Here is a 17,266-nt window from a genome sequence, read left to right as displayed (position 1 = left end):
TGTTTGCAGATGACATGATTGTATATCTAGAAAACCCCATCATCTCAGCCCAAAATCTCCTTAAGCTGATAAGCAACTACAACAAGTCTCAGGATACAAAAATCAATGTGGAAAAATCATAAGCATTCTTATACACCAATAACAGACAAACAGAGAGCCAAATCATGAATGAACTCCCATTCACAATTGCTTCAAAGAGAATAAAATACCTAGAACTCCAACTTAAAAGGGATGCGAAGGACCTCGTCAAGGAGAACTACAAACCACTGCTCAATGAAATAAAAGAGGATACAAACAAATGGAAGAACATTCCATGCTCATGGGTAGGAAGAATCAATATCATGAAAATGGCCATATTGCCCAAGGTAATTTATAGATTCAATACCATCCCCATCAAGCTACCAATGACTTTCTTCACAGAATTGGAAAAAACTGCTTTAAAGTTCATATGGAACCAAAAAAGAACCCACATCACCAAGTCAATCCTAAGCCAAAAGAACAAAGCTGGAGGCATCACGCTACCTGACTTCAAACTATACTACAAGGCTACAGTAACCAAAACAGCATGGTACTGGTACCAAAACAGAGATATAGATCAATGGAACAGAACAGAGCCCTCAGAAATAATGCCGCATATCTACAACTATCTGATCTTTGACAAACCTGACAAAAACAAGCAATGGGGAAAGAATTCCCTATTTAATAAATGGTGCTGGGAAAACTGGCTAGCCATAGGTAGAAAGCTGAAACTGGATCCCTTCCTTACACCATATACAAAAATTAATTCAAGATGGATTAAAGACTTACATGTTAGACTAAAACCATAAAAACCCTAGAAGAAAACCTAGGCAATACCATTCAGGACATAGGCATGGGCAAGGACTTCATGTCTAAAACACCAAAAGCAATGGCAACAAAAGCCAAAATTGACAAATGGGATCTAATTAAACTAAAGAGCTTCTGCACAGCAAAAGAAATCACCATCAAAGTGAACAGGCAACCTACAAAATGGGAGAAAATTTTCGCAACCTACTCATCTGACAAAGAGCTGATAGCCAGAATCTACAATGAACTTAAACAAATTTACAAGAAAAAAACAAACAGTCCCATCAAAAAGTGGGCAAAGGATATGAACAGACACTTCTCAAAAGAAGACATTTATGCAGCCAACAGGCACATGAAAAAATGCTCATCATCACTGGCCATCAGAGAAATGCAAATCAAAACCACAATGAGATACCATCTCATACCACTTAGAATGGCAATCATTAAAAAGTCAGGAAACAACAGGTGCTGGAGAGGATGTGGAGAAATAGGAACACTTTTACACTGTTGGTGGGACTGTAAACTAGTTCAATCATTGTGAAAGTCAGTGTGGCGATTCCTCAGGGATCTAGAACTAGAAATACCATTTGACCCAACAATCCCATTACTGGGTATATACCCAAAGGACTATAAATCATGCTGCCATAAAGACACATGCACATGTATGTTTATTGCGGCACTATTCAGAATAGCAAAGACTTGGAACCAACCCAAATGTCCAACAATGATAGACTGGATTAAGAAAATGTGGCACATATACACCATGGAATACTATGCAGCCATAAAAAATGATGAGTTCATGTCCTTTGTAGGGACATGGATGAAGCTGGAAACCATCATTCTCAGCAAACTATTGCAAGGACAAAAAACCAAACACCGCATGTTGTCACTCACAGGTGGGAATTGAACAATGAGAACACATGGACACAGGAAGGGGAACATCACACACTGGGGACTGTTGTGGGGTGGGGGGAGGGGGGAAGGATAGCATTGGGAGATATACCTAATGCTAAATGACGAGTTAATGGGTGCAGCACACCACCATGGCACATGTATACGTATGTAAGAAACCTGCACGTTGTCCACATGTACCCTAAAACTTAAAGTATAATAATAAAAAAAAGAGTGCCCAAATTCAAACGTTTTTCCAAAAATCGTTTTGTTAAATTGATGCTTGCTTCATAATTTGGGCCCTAATGATTCCATGATTTCACAGATTCATACTGCAATTAACAACATATATCTAGCTTCATAGCAGAGAGACCTGATACTCTCTTAAATTCTCCTCTATCCTATACTTCTTCGGAAGTTGAATTCCAAAGAATTTTGAGGCACCTGCAGAAATATCTTCAAAATATTTTCTTTGGAATGCTTCCACGTAAAATAACTATTTCTTAAGTAGGCAGAAATTTTCTTTAATGCCTTCAGCATGGAAATGTCATATATTCTCACTATGCAGAATATCAAAACCCAAATCAGATAGGATGGTGTTTAGGGTTTGGTTGAAGTCTCTGTGTGTGACTGAGTACTTATTATAGCAAATAAACTGAGTGTGGAATAAGGATGAAGGCAGAAGATTAGTACTAGAGAAACTGAAAAAAGTGAAATCTAGAAAATTCCATTGCTTAGAAACCACCAAGTGCCAAACATTTGTCACTGATAAACCACATTTAGGTCTAAATGTCACTGAAGATACTCAGATGATTGAAGAAGGAAAAAGGTAGGTGGCATCCAAAAATAGTGGCAAAAAATAAGAGGGAGAATCTGGGCCACCCGACTTATTTCCAAGTTTCACCAAATTGAGAGGCAGAAGCTTCTCAGAATCTGATTCTTGGTCAATTATTTAAGTGGTTATTAAATAATTTGGGGTACTTTTTAAAAATACCAGTGCCTAGGGAAACACCCAAGATTAATTAAATAAAAATCCTTGAGGTTGAAGCCTAGCATCAATAATTTTTTTAAAGCTTCTCAGGTGATTCCAATGTGCCAGAAGGTTTGATAAGCAATGTTCTAGAGCATCGCTTGTCGTCAAATTTTAAGATTCATATACGTTACTGTATTAGTCTGTTTCACACTGTGATAAAGAGCTTCCCTGAGGCTGGGTAATTTATAAAGGAAAGAAGTTTAATTGTCTCACAGCTCCATATGCCTGGAGAGGCCTCAGGAAACTTACAATCATGGCGGAAGGAGAAGTAGGCACCTTCTTCACAAGGCGGCAGAAGAGCGAGCGAGCAAAGAGCTGGGAACACTGCCTTATAAATCCTTCAGATCTCATGAGAAATCACTCACCATCACGAGAACAGCATGAGGGAAACCGCCCCCAAAATCCAATCACCTCCCTCCTTGGACACATGGGGATTACAGGTCCCTCCCTCAACACATGGGGATTATAAATGGAGATGAGATTTTGGTGGGGACACAGAGCCAAACCATACCAGTTACCTAAATATATTTTTAATGTACAGGTCCTGACTCAAGAGGTCTGGATGGGGCCTGAGATTCTGCATTTCTGGCAAGTTTAAATTTAATGCTAATATTGTTGGCTTTATACTTTGAAGTAGAAATTTATTTTTACTATTTTTGTTATAAAATAGGTTTATTTATTAAATAACTTTTAAAAGCTAGCAGTACAGGTTTCTTTCTTTACGTTTGGTAAGTTTTAAAAATAATTTCTACTTTTATTTTAGATTCAGGGAGTACATGTGCAGGCTTGTTATATGGGCATATTGAATGATGCTGAGGTTTGGGGTATGACTGATCCTGTCCCCCAAGTAGTGGGCAGTATAGTACCCAATAGTTACTTTTTTAACCCTAGTTCCCCACCCTCCCTCTCCTCTCTGGTGGTTTCCAGTGTCTATTGTTGCCATCGTTATGTTCACAACTACCCAATGTTTAGCTCCCACTTATAAGTGAGAACATGTGGTATTTGGTTTTCTGTTCCTGCATTAATTCACTTAGGATAATGACCTCCAGTTGTATACATGTTGCTGCAAAGAACATGATTTTGCTCTTTTTTAGGGCTGCAATGTATGCCATGGAGTATATTTTCTTTATTCAATCCACTGTTGATGAGCACCTAGGTTGATTCCATGTCTTTGCCATGGTGAATAGCACTGTGATTAACAGTCGTGTCCATGTGCCTTTTGATAGAATGATTCATTTGCCTTTGGGTATATGCCCAGTAATGACATTGCTGGGTCAATAGTTGTTCTGTTTTAAGTTCTTCGAGAAATCTCCAAACTGCTTTCCACAGTGGCTGAACCAATTTATATTCCCACCAACAGTGTGTAAGCATACCCTTTTCTCTGCAGCTTTGTCAGAATCTGTTATTTTTTAACTTTTTGATAATCACCATTTTGACTGGTGTGAGATAGTATCTCATTGTGGTTTTGGTTTGCATTTCTCTGATGATTCGTGATATTGAGCATTTCTTCATATGTTTATTGGCTGCTTATATGTCTTCTTTTAAGAAGTGTCTGTTCATGTCTTTACCCACTTTTTAATCACGTTGATTTTTGCTTGTTGAGTTGTTTAAGTTCCTTATAGATTCTGGATATTAGACCCCTGATGAACTAAATTTAAATAGCAAAGTTTCCAGAACAGTGGATATCAACCTTCTGTGGAGCTATCAACAGCTCCACAGAAGAATCACCTGGGGGTACTTTTCAAAAAATACTCATGCTTAGGCCCCAGGCACAGAGATTCTGGTTGGTGTACGGGTTGAGCATTAGCACGGTTTTAGAATTCTCAAATGCAGTCATTATTGAGAACCACTGTTCTAGAAAAACTGGCATAATGCCTCCAGTTAGGGAAAAATAAAGAAGAGGCACAGGGAACAAACAAATGATAAATACAGCTTATTTTTATTTGCTCATGAAATACTTGTAAGATGATATAAATATATTTTCTCAAATACTAGAAAATGATGAAAACTCATCATTAGCGCATAGCCCTACAGATAATCCATTCCTGCAGTCTAAGAGGGCATCTCTGCTAACTATAAGCAGATGGAACTTGAATGAGAAAAATATGCCAAATTGTCATTTTTTTACACTCTAAGACGTTCCTTCATGAAAGAGACAACATCTGAAAATGCAGAAGATACTTAGTATATCCTACACTCTCAGCCCATCTGCCCATTCTTATGGACAACCATCCTTCTTTATCATGGTGGTGCAGGATACCTAGAGTACTTTTCTTTACATACTCTGCCACCAACAACTATGCTGCCCCTGGCAGAAGTACAGGGCATTTGGATAAGTGTGATGCTTATTATACATACTGTTGGAAACATGGAGCATACTGACAGCAGCCTCATTAAGCAATCTTAAGATATAGCTAGGTAGATATAGTAGGAATCTACCTTTCCTTGTTTAAAAATGAGAAAAAAAGGAAAAAACCTAGGAGTCCATAAAAAATACTAAAAATCAATGGAGAGTAAAAATAATCTGACAGTCCAAAGGAAAAGCATAGCTCTGAAAATTGTCTACTTTAGGATAAAATGAAAACGTCCAGAAATCACTGGGGATACACTCTACCAACCAGAAAAAAATAAAAAGTATTCAGGAAAGGACAGGCTAAAATGTAAAGAAAATAGGATGAAATAAGAAAGAAATTAATGAAAACTAAAAATGCAACAGCAAAACCAAAACTCATAATAAAAGTAGGAAAATGCAGAATTTATTCTGCAGATAATCAAATGGTAATATAAAAGACTAACATTAAACTACAGAGGAAAAGGATACAGAGCAGAAATCAGAAATCTGACATATACGTGCATGTTCATCTTAGTGCTATTCACCATAGCAAAGACATGGAATCAACTAGGTACCATTAGGGTGAGGTGGATAAAGAAAATGTGGTACATATACACCATGGAATACTGTGCAGCCATAAAAAGAATGACATCATATCCTTTTGCAGTAACATGAATGCAGCTGGAGGCCATTACTCTAAGCAAATTAACTCAGGAACAGAAAACCAAATACTGCATGTTGTTACTCATAAATGGGAGATAAACATTGGGTACTCATGGACATAAAGATGGGAACAATAGGCACTTGGAATCACCGGAGCTGGGAAGGAGGGTAGGGAACAAGGGTTGTAAAATTGACTATACTCTGTGCTCACTACCTGCGTGATAGGACCATCTGTACCCCAAACCTCAGCATCATACAACATACTCATGTAACAAACCTGCACATGTACCCCCAAATTCAAAGTTAAAAAAAAATGAAAGATATATGTAGTTAAAATGTTTGAAGAAAGTAGAGGGATATGAGCAAAGAAAGTCTTCACAAAGAGATCAAAGTAAATGGAACAGAATGAAACATAATAGGAAAATGTTCCCTAGGTGGAAAACTATTCGTGTATGCGGGATGGAAAAGTTTTTTAATACACCTACCATTAGGTCAATCTTAGCAATTTTCTTCATTAAGGGACACAGAAAAATGTCTATAAACATTCAGGATTAAAATACATAAACCTAAAAAATAAAAATAGAGAGACTATAGACTTATCTGCAATAGTTACTGAAGCCAGATATTGAATAAACCAAATAAAGCAATATGGAGAGATATTTAAAAGTAAAATTGCTACCCAGAACATTTATATGCAGTTAACTTACATATCTGAATGACTAAAGGTGGGTTTGCAGGAGGTTGGAGAACTGCTTAAAATGGTGGAGACTCTATCATGTTTCAAAGATGATAAGAAAAATTCATTTCAAGAGGAAGAGGTCAATTAAATTAGAAATGGCATAAGTTTCCAGAGTGGTGAGAGGGAATAGAAAATAAACATAAAGGAAAAGAAAACTTCCTTATTTTCTTGCAGTTTTAACCGTTTAATAGGAAGAAAGGTTTCAGCTATAACTTTTTAACAGGAAGAAAGTAAAGTGAGTTCTTTCTGATGATATATTTTCCCTCTGAAGTACAAAGCAAGATTACTATCAAGTAATGGTGAAAAGAGAGGATGTTGGAGAATGATGAAGAAGGCGAAGAAAGTTGAAAAATAATTATTTCAAATGTCAAAAAAGATACACAATGAAATTAGGAGGAGATGTTGAAGGTCTCCTTGAGTCATAACTTCATAATGGTTACAATCTGCCTTGTTGAATGATGATTTCCAGCAGAGTATATCTGCTTGTGGAGGCAAGGAGAAAATGGAAAAATGGAGGAACCCCAACATAAGTATGGCTTTAAAAGCTAGCAGAAGAAAAGAGATTACTAAAATCAGAGAACAACTGAAAGAAATTGAGATGCAAAAGTCCATACAAAGATAAATGAAACAGAGTTTGTTTTTTGAAAGAATAAATAAGATTGATAGACTACTAGTTAGATTAACAAAAAAAGAGAAGACCCAAATAAGCACAATCAAAAATGACAAATGACATTACACCCAATCCCACAGAAATACAAAAGATATTCAGAGACTATTATGAACACCTCTGTGCAAACAAATTAGAAAATCTAGAGGAAATGGATAAGTTCTCAGAAACACAAAACCATCCAAGGTTGAACAAGGGATAATGTGAAAACATGAATAAGCCAATAACAAGTTCTGAAATTGAATCGGTAATTTTAAAAAAACCTACCAACCAAAAAAAGCCCTGAACCAGGCGGATTCACAGCTGAATTCTACTAGAGTTACAAAGAAGAACTGGTACCAATCCTACTAAAACTCTTCCAAAAAATTGAGGATGAGGGGAGGCTTCTCACTAACATATTATACAAAGTCATCATCATCCTTATACCAAAATCTGGCAGAGACACAAAAACAGAAAACTTCAGGCTAAACTCCCTGATGAACATAGACACAAAATCCTCAACAAAATACTAGCAAACTGAATTCAGCAGCACATCAAAATCTAATTCACTATGAGAAAAGTGGGCTTCATTCCTGGAATGCAAGGTTGGTTCGACATACACAATTCACTAGATATGATTCATCGCATAAACAGAATCAAAATCAAAACCATATGGTTATCTCGATAGATACAGAAAAGGCCTTCAAGAGAATCCCAAATCCCTTCATGATAAAATACCCTCAACAGGCTAGTCATTGAAGAAACATACCTCAAAACAATAAGAGCCATCTATGAAAAACACACAGCTAAAATCATACTGAATGGGCAAAAGCTATAACTATTCCCCTGGAGAACCAGAACAAGAAAGTGATGCCTACTCTTACCACTCCTATTTAACATAGTATAGGAAGACCTAGCCAGAGCAATCAGGCAAGAGAAAGAAATAAAAGGCATTCAAATAGGAAGAGAGGAAGTCAAACTATCTCTCTTTGCTGATGATTATAATTTTAGAAATAGAAAACCCTAAAGACTCCACCAAAAGGCAACTAGAATTGACAATTTCAGTAAAGTTTCAGGAGACAAAATCAATGTACAAAAGTCAATAGTATTTCTGTACAGCAATAACATTGTATCAGAGAGCCAAGTCAAAAACTCAATCCCATTTACAATAGGCACACAAAAAAATGTAATACATCTAACCAAAGAGGTGAAAGATTTCTACAAGGAGAACTACAAAACACTGCTGAAAGAAATCAGAGACAACACAAACAAATGTAAAAATGTTCCACACTCATGAATAGGAAGAATCAATATCATTAAAATGGCCATACTGCCCAAAGCAATTTACAGAATTCAATACGATCTCTATCAAAACACCAATGTTGTTTTTCACAGAATTAGAAAAACTATTCTAAAATTAATATGGAATCAAAAAAGAGCCCAAATAGCCAAAGCAATTCTAAGCAAAAAGAACAAAGTCAGAGGCATCATATTACCTGACTTCAAACTGTACTCTATGGCTACATTAACCCAAACAGCATTGTACTGGTACAAAAAACAGACACACACACTAATGGAATAGAATAGAGAATCCAGAAATAAAGTCAAACACCTACAACAGTCTGCTCTTCAACAAAGTCACCAAGAATAACTAATACAGAAAGGACTCCCTATTAAATAAATGGTGCTGGGATAACTGTCAAGCCATATGCAAAATAATGAAACTGGATACCTACTTTTCACCATATACAAAAATTAACTCAAGTTGGATTAAAGAGTTAAATGTAAGACTTTAAGTTATAATAATTCTAGAAGAAAGCTTAGGAAATACCCTTCCCAACATTAACTTTGACAAAGAATTAATGGCTAAGTCTCCAAAAGCAATTGAAACAAAAACAAAAATTGACAAGTGGGACCTAATTAAACTAAAGAGCCTCTGCACAGCAAATCTCAATAGTCTAAACAGATAGCTTACAGAATGGGAGAAAATATTTGCAAACTATGCATTCAAAAAATGTCTGATACCCCGAATCCACAAGCAAAATTTAAACAAATCAACAAGCAAAAAACAAATAATTCTACTAAAAATGGGCAAAGGACACGAACAGACACTTCTCAAAAGAAAACATACAAGCAGTCAACAAATGAAATGCAAGTCAAAACCACAATGAGATACCATGTCACACCAGTCAGAATGGTGAACATTAAAAAGTCAAAAAATAATAGATGCTGACAAGGCTGCAGAGAAAACGGAATGCTTATACACTGTTGGTGGGAATATAAATTGGTTCAGCCACTGTGGAAAGCAGTTTGGAGATTTATCAAAGAAATTAAAACAGAACTACCATTCAACCCAGCAATCCCATTACTGGGTATATACTCAAAGAAAAATGAATCATTCCACCAAAAAGATGCATGCACTGGTATGTTCACTGCAGTGTTATTCACCATAGCAAAGACATGGAATCAACTAGGTTTCCTTATGGTAAAGTGGATGAAGAAAATGTGGTACATATATATCATGGAATACTATGTGGCCATAAAAAGAATGACATCATATCCTTTTGCAGCAACATGAATGCAGCTGGAGATCATTATCCTAAAAAAATTAACTCAGGAACAGAAAACCAAATACTGCATGTTCTCACTCATAAGTGGGGCTAAACATTGGGTACTTATGTACATTAAGATGGGAACAATAGGCACTGGGAATCACCAGAGCAGGGAAGGAGGGTGGGGAACAAGGGTTGTAAAACTATACTCTGTGCTCACTACCTAGGTGATAGGACCATCCATATCCCAAACCCCAGCATCACACAACATACTTATGTAACAAACCTGCACACATGCCCCCGAATCCAAAGTAAAAGAAGTGAAAGACACATGTAGTCAAAATGTTTAAAGAAAGTAAAGGGATATGAGCAAGGCAAAAACTATGAGCTAAAATATGAATAAATGAATTAGCTAAAATAAACACTTCAATGTCAGGACAAGGAGAAAATGATGAAAAAATATAAAAGAGGGATCAAAATAAATCGAAAATGAAATTGAAAGGAATATGCTTAATGAATATTTGAAGAAAGAATTTAAATAAGTGGGAGAGAAAATAATAGAAAATAGGACATGTTTAAGCATTTTAAAGAACTAATAATATACATTCTCATTAAATATCAACCAAGAAAAGCATAAAAGGCATATATGTGTGTCTGAAAATATCATAATAAATGTAAAACTAAATACCAAAATAAAGGAAATGATTTAAATTCATAAAAATATAAAATCCAAATTAACTGTAGAGCAACAATAGATTTTTATCTCCTTTCTTAACATCTTCATGAAATTGATAAATAAATAGATATTATGTTCAAAGTGCTGAGTTAAAATACTTGTCAATTTGGAATTGCATACCTAGCTAAATTATTTTTCACGAATGTGAACAAAATGTAAATTAATTCATACAAGTAATATAGACTAAGTTTAATTCGATTATTTACATCTTTAAGAAATCTATTAAAAACATTTTAAATAAAATGCTGCTTCCTATTAAAAATGAAAATAAAAGAGGCAGTAAAGGTATGAAGAAAACTAAAACTTAGAACCTAAGATATTTAGAATACTAGTATTACTAAATAGACTACTAGTAATACAAATGGAATACTAGTAATGCTAAAGTATTCCTAAGACTGCATGCTATGCAATCAGACTAGGATAAACAAATAAAGACAAACTTATGGATAGAAGAAAAGTAGAGGGGTTAAGTAGCTGCACAGCAAGAAAGGAGTGAAGCTGTGGTCAGACAGAAAGATAAATGAATTAGTGACTTCAGGGATGGAGTGAATATGGTTGAGAAGGTGAACAAAGTGCAATGACAGAGAAGGTCATAAGAGATGGGATGGTCAAGGAACTGAGAGCCAGGTTCTCAGTTATGTCATGTACATGGGCTCTCATGGCATTCAGAACCTTTTAACAACTACGAAAACACTTATTGTGGTATTCTGAATATGCTTTCAATGAGAGAGCATTCACAATAGTAAAAGGTTCACATTTGATATGGTTTGGTTGTGTCCCCACCCAAATCTCATCTTGAATTCTCACATGTTGTGGGAGGGACCTGGTGGGAGGTAATTGAATCATGGGGGGCAGGTCTTTCCTGTGCTGTTCTCATGATAGTGAGTAAGTCCATGAGATCTGATGGTTATTATAAGGCAGAGTTTTCCTGCACAAGGTCTCTTTACCTGCTGCCATTCACATAAGATGTGACTTGCTCCTCCTTGCTTTCCGCTATGATTGTGAGGCTTCCCCAGTCATGTGGAACTGTAAGTCCAATTAAACCTCCTTCTTCTGTAAATTGCCTAGTCTCAGGTATGTTTTTATCAGCAGTGTGAAAACATATTAATATAGTAAATTGATACCAGTAGAGTGGGGTGCTGCTGAAAAGATACCTGAAAATGTGGAAGTGACTTTGGAACTGGGTAACAGGCAGAAGTTGGAACAGTTTGGAGGGGTCAGAAGAAGATAGGAAAATGTGGGAAAGTTTGGAACTTCCTAGTGACGTGTTGAATGGCTTTGACCAAAAGCTTGATAATGATATGGACAATAAGGTCCAGGCAATCTCAGGTGGTCTCAGGTGGAGATGAAGAACGTGTTGGGAACTGGAGCAAAGGTGACTCTTGTTATGTTTTAGCAAAGAGACTGGCAGTGTTTTACCCCTGCCCTAGAGATCTGTGAAACTTTGAACTTGAGAGAGATGATTTAGGGTATCTGGCAGAAGAAATTTCTAAGCAGCAAAGCATTCAAGAAGTGACTTGGATGCTGTTAAAGACATTCGGTTTTATAAAGGAAGCAAAGGATAAAAGTTCAGAAAATTTGCAGCCTGACAGTGCAATAGAAAAGAAAATTCCATTTTCTGAGGAGAAATTCAAGCCAAATGCAGAAATTCACAAAAGTAATGAGGAGCCAAATGTTAATCCCCAAGACAATGGGGAAAATGTCTCCAGGGCATGTCAAAGGTCTTTATGGCAGCCCCTCCCATCACAGACCCAGAGGCCCAGGAAGAAAAAGTGGTTTTCTCAGTCAGGCACAGGGTACCCATCCTGTGTACAGCCTAGGGACTTGGTGCCCTGTGTTTCAGCTGCTCCAGCCATAGCTGAAAGGGACAAATGTAGAGCTCAGGCTGTGGCTTCAGAGGGTGCAAGCCTCAAGCCTTGGCAGCTTCCATGTGGTGTTGAGCCTGCAGGTGTACGGAAGTCAAGAATTGGGGTTTAGGAACCTCTGCCTAGATTTCAGAGGATGTATGGAAATGCCTGGATGCCCAGGCAGAAATTTGCTTCAGGGGCAGGGCCCTCATGGAGAACCTCTGCTAGGGCAGTGCAGAAGGGAAATGTGGGGTTACAGCCCCCACAGAGTCCCTACTGGGACACCACCTAGTGGAGCTGTGAGAAAAGGGCCACTGTCCTCCTGACTGCAGAATGGAAGATCCACTGACAGCTTGAATAGTGTGTCCGGAAAAGCAACAAGACACTCAACGCCAGCCCATGAAAGCAGCCAGGAGGTGGGCTATATCCTGCAAAGCCACGAGGGCAGAGCTGCCCAAGACCATGAGAACCATCAGCATGACCTGCATGTGAGACATGGAGTAAAAGGAGATCATTTCGGAGCTTTAAGATTTGATTGCCTTGCTGGATTTTGGACTTGCATTGGGCCTGTAGCCCCTTTGTTTTGGCCAATATCTCCCATTTGGAATGGCTGTATTTACCTAATGCCTTTACCCCAGTTGTATCTAGGAAGTAACTAGCTTGCTTTTGATTTTACAGGCTCACAGGTGGAAGGGACTTGCCTTATCTCAGATGAGATTTTGGACTATAGACTTTTGAATTAAAGCTGAAATAAGTTAAGACCTTGGAGGACTGTTGGGAAGGCACGATTGGTTTTGAAATGTGAGGACATGAGATTTGGGAGGGCCCAAGGGTGGAACGATATGGTTTGGCTGTGTCCTCACCCAAATCTCATCTTGAATTTTCCATGTGTTGTGGGAGGGACCCAGTGGGAGTTAATTGAATAATGAGGACAGGTCTTTCCTGTGCTTTTCTCGTGATAGTGAGTAAGTCTCATGAGATCTGATAGTTATTATAAGGGGGAGTTTTCCTGCACAAGCTCTCTTTGCCTGCTGCCACCCATGTAAGACATGACTTGCTTCTCCTTGCCTTCCACCATAATTGTGAGGCTTCCCCAGCCATGTGGTACTGTAAGTCCAATTAAACCTCTTTTTTATTTTGGTAAATTGTCTAGTCCGGGTATGTCTTTATCAGCAGTGTGAAAACGGACTAATACAACATCCTAAGACTGAAACTTGGGCACTATCAGTAAAAGTGCAAATGGGAACTAAATTAAGGCATTTTGCCCTGGATTTTCAAACCACTTTGAGTAATGATGATTATTTGTATAAATTATCAAGAGTTTTTGAGCTTTACTCAATTGTATTTCCTATATCATAAATCTTCATCAATTCTCAGCTTCTCAATGCAAATATATAAGAGAAAAACAAAGATCAAGCTTTATCTCTCCCACTTCTCTCCAACCGGCCCAAAGTCTTTTATAAAAGTATAAACAATTTTATGAGTATAAGGTATTACTCCTAATCATAATTGTATAAGCAAGTATATTACAATAATTAACTTAATAAAAACAAGGAGAAGGATTCTTACCAAAAGAAGGTGACTCCCTTCCATCCTCTAATCCTGAATCTCTTTCTCTGTCTCTCTTTCTGTGTTTATGACCACGATGCCTGTGACGTCGATGGCTTTTTCTTCCTCCCAAGGGCACATGTACTCCAATAAATAGTGTTCGATGACCTTCATAAGGAAGCAAACCCACAAATTAAACTCTGAATTATTCCAGGGCACAGATATGATGATTTACATGTTAATGGAGACTCAATTTAATTTAATTCAGCAAGTCATTTTTGATGTTTATGATACATAAAGCTTGGAGCGTGGCACTGTCTTTTGGCATTTTACCTAATTAAGTGTACCATAGCTCTATCACAAACATGTATAATACTAATTATTTGGTTAAATATTTTGCAATCATCACTTCCTTTATAATCTCTATGTGTCTGTTCCCCATGCTTAATTATACTCTTCTCATTAGAAAAAAAATTGTTTTTTATTCTCTCTACCTTCAGACAATTGTGTTATCTCATCAAATCCCTTCCCTTCACAGTTAAGTGTTTTTAAAAAATCACTGTCTCTAATAAAACAGGTTTCGCTAAGGTCTATGTTAATGCCAAATTCCACAGAGGTTTTTCTGTTTTCCTATTTCTATATGTTACACTTGATATTGGCCACCTATTATACTTAATAAAAGTCCCAAGGCACAAGAGTTTCGACTCTGGCATATTGTTATAATTGTTCAATTTTATTATTAGCTACTGTTAATCTCTTACTGTGCCTAATTTATAAATTAAATTTTATCATAGGTATGTATGTAAAGGAAAAACACAGTATATATAGGGTTCAGTACTATCTGAGGTTTCAGGCATCTTTTGGGGGTCTTAGAACGTATCCTCTACAGATAAAGTGGGACTACTGGAAAAGGAAATGAGCTGTCAACCACAAAAAAGACATGAGAGAACTGTTAATGCATATTGCTAGGTGAAAGAAGATGGTTTTAAAAGCTACATACTGTATTATTCCAACTGTATGACATTCTGGAAAAGCTAAAACTATAGAGACAGTAAAAATATCAGCAGTTGTCAGGGCTTCAGGGAGAAGGTATAGGGATGAACAGGTGGAGCACAGGGCATTTTTAGGGAAGTCAAACCATCCTTGATAATGTAATGGTAGATACATGTCATTAAACATTTGTCCAGACCAATAGAACTGTATAACACAGAGTGAACCCTAATGTAAACTATGGACTTTGGTTGATAATAACCTATTAATGTTGGTTTATCAATTGTAACAAATGTACTGCACTAATGTAAAATGTTAATAAGAGAAGAAATTGTGTGCAGCAGGGAGAGGAAATACATGGGAACTGTCTCAACTTTCTGTGCAGTATTTTTATAAACTTAAAATTGATCTAAAAAATAAAGCCTATCCAACAAAGTTAACATTTGTAGCTACAGAAAAATTTATGAGGAAGCAAAAGTACAAGCAAACAAAGGGATATTTGTGTTACCAAGTAGATCATGTATAGGAGAGTGTTGTATCAGGGAAAAAACCTCTAAAGAAAACATTAAAATACTAGGTTAAAAAAAATCTTACTTTCTCAAGTGCCAAAGTACACAAAATATTATAATGGCAATACTGTGGATGAAGGCTTATGTCCCCCGAGGTTTATATTTTAAAGTCCCAACCCCAAATGTGACTGTATTTAGAGATAGGGCCTTTATAGAGGTAATTAAGGTTAAATGAGGCCATAGGAGTGGGGCTGGATCCATCCAATTAGTGTTCTTAAAAGAAGAAACACCAAAGAGCTACCTCTCTTGCTCTCTGTCCAAGCACACAAAGAGGTAACACAATGATGCAAGGAGATGGTAACCACCTAAAGCCAAGAGAAAAGTCTTCAGAATGAGACCCACCTGGCTAGCCATCTTGATCTTAGGTGTCCCAGCCTCCAGAACTGTGAGAAAATACATTTCTGTAGTTTAAGCTGCCCAGCCTGTGGTATTTTTTTCTGGCAGCCCCAGTCAACTAATACAGCAAGGAAAGCCTAAAACAAAGCCTTACAATAATGAGTTTCAGAAGACATGTAATTGAAATTGTAAGATTTCTAAAATATCCAATGTATAACACTTAGGCTGATAGTGTTTCTTTGAAAGGGATAACTGAATTCTACTAAAATAAATTTGCCTACTTTAGTGGATATATTTGTACTTAAATTACGTGATTTTTTCAATAAAACGCAAAAAAGAAAATATTTATTTTTTATACACGGGGTTAAATTACCTCCAAATTCTAGAAGGACTGGAGGTGAGATTGGCATGAAACTATAGAATTAGTTATTCCTCTATTGCTGGAAAAAAATCCGATATTATGTATATTTTAAGAACGGATGTAAATCTTTTATAATCCTAAAAATAATTATAGATTAATCCTCTGGCAAACCGAAAGCTGAAAGATAGTTTCTATATTCAGGTTTTTGTCCTGTATGGATTCATGCAGGCAAGTGAAAAATTATAATTGGTTCAAGTACCTGATTATAGACAATTAAAATGCACAAAAAGCCCTTTACCAATAAGGCTCAATTTTGGAAAAAGGAAATAAAGGGAAGTGAATTAATACATATATGTGTCTGGTCCTATTTATTATTTTATTGACCACAATATTAAGTTATATTATGTGAGAAACAATAGAGTATTCATTAAAACATGATCTCTGGGATTGAGTCAAATGCTTACATTCATATCAGTGTGTGTCACTTATATTTATGCAACCTTTAAAAAAAGTACTTTATCTTTCACTTTATCTATAAAATGAAAATATTAGTAGCTATATCATTCAGAAAGTGTTTTTTTATCATTCACGAAACAAAAGGTTCAAAAAAGTTAAGTCACATTTTAAGTCCCACAGCTAATGAACAAACCTACTTTCTCTCCCTTTAGAGTTTAAGACAGATCAACAGAGCACAGGGAATTTGGGGAAGTAATAAGTTGCTACGTCTTAACTGTTGAAGAAAGCGTCAAAAGTGTAGGTGGCAATGTTAGCATCAGTTGGGGAGAATACTGTCTTCTCTCCTGTAATTCCTTTTTGGTTAAAGCTTTCTTTGTTTGAAGTAGAGATGCTACCTGTCAAAATTAGTACTACCTGTGTGATGGCATATTGCATAGTCCCAACTACACCTAAGGTGAGTTGTGGGGAGTTGGAGAAAACAGCAGACAGTGTAATTTTGAAATAGAAAGATAAGAGAAATAGTAAAGAGCAAAAATATATATATATTAAGAGAGAAGTTGGGCAAAAAGATTAAGAGGTAAGTAGGATATAAAGAGACAGAAATGATAAAAAGAGCAAGATTAAAAACAGAGAAAAATACAAATAAAGAAGAAACAAGTAGAAAAGTTAAATGAGAATAAGAAAATGGCCTCAAGAAATATGGTAACAATGATTACAGGTGACACCCTTATCTATATTATCA

The 17,266-nt window shown here is 36.5% G+C and overlaps 1 protein-coding gene across 25 annotated transcripts in view, besides 1 other annotated feature; it reads right to left on the bottom strand.

Moving 5' to 3' along the window:
- SLC4A10 (solute carrier family 4 member 10) overlaps positions 1–17,266 on the bottom strand; it is a 360,855-nt gene that overhangs the window by 166,842 nt on the left and 176,747 nt on the right. For 24 of the 25 annotated variants that reach the window (NM_001354461.2, NM_001354447.2, NM_001354441.2 and 21 more), the window contains one exon: positions 13,834–13,980. The exons of the other annotated variant lie outside the window; for it this stretch is intronic. In NM_001354461.2, coding sequence (NP_001341390.1) covers positions 13,834–13,980 — 147 coding nt within the window. The remainder of the gene's footprint in view (positions 1–13,833; positions 13,981–17,266) is intronic. 25 annotated transcript variants of the gene reach the window in all.
- Positions 5,984–6,153: an enhancer, noted in NCBI's record as "experimental_54812 CRE fragment used in MPRA reporter constructs". NCBI's record gives its function as "activates a minimal promoter by MPRAs in K562 erythroleukemia cells, with activity observed for both the introgressed and non-introgressed 2:162668871 variant alleles {active_cell/tissue: K562}" and the evidence as "EXISTENCE:reporter gene assay evidence [ECO:0000049][PMID:34662402]".

This window comes from Homo sapiens, chromosome 2 (assembly GCF_000001405.40).
Source record: "Homo sapiens chromosome 2, GRCh38.p14 Primary Assembly".
Taxonomy (NCBI): Eukaryota; Metazoa; Chordata; class Mammalia; order Primates; family Hominidae; genus Homo; species Homo sapiens.
The sequence above is the reverse complement of the archived record's forward strand: the minus strand, read 5'-3'. Positions and strand labels throughout refer to the sequence as shown.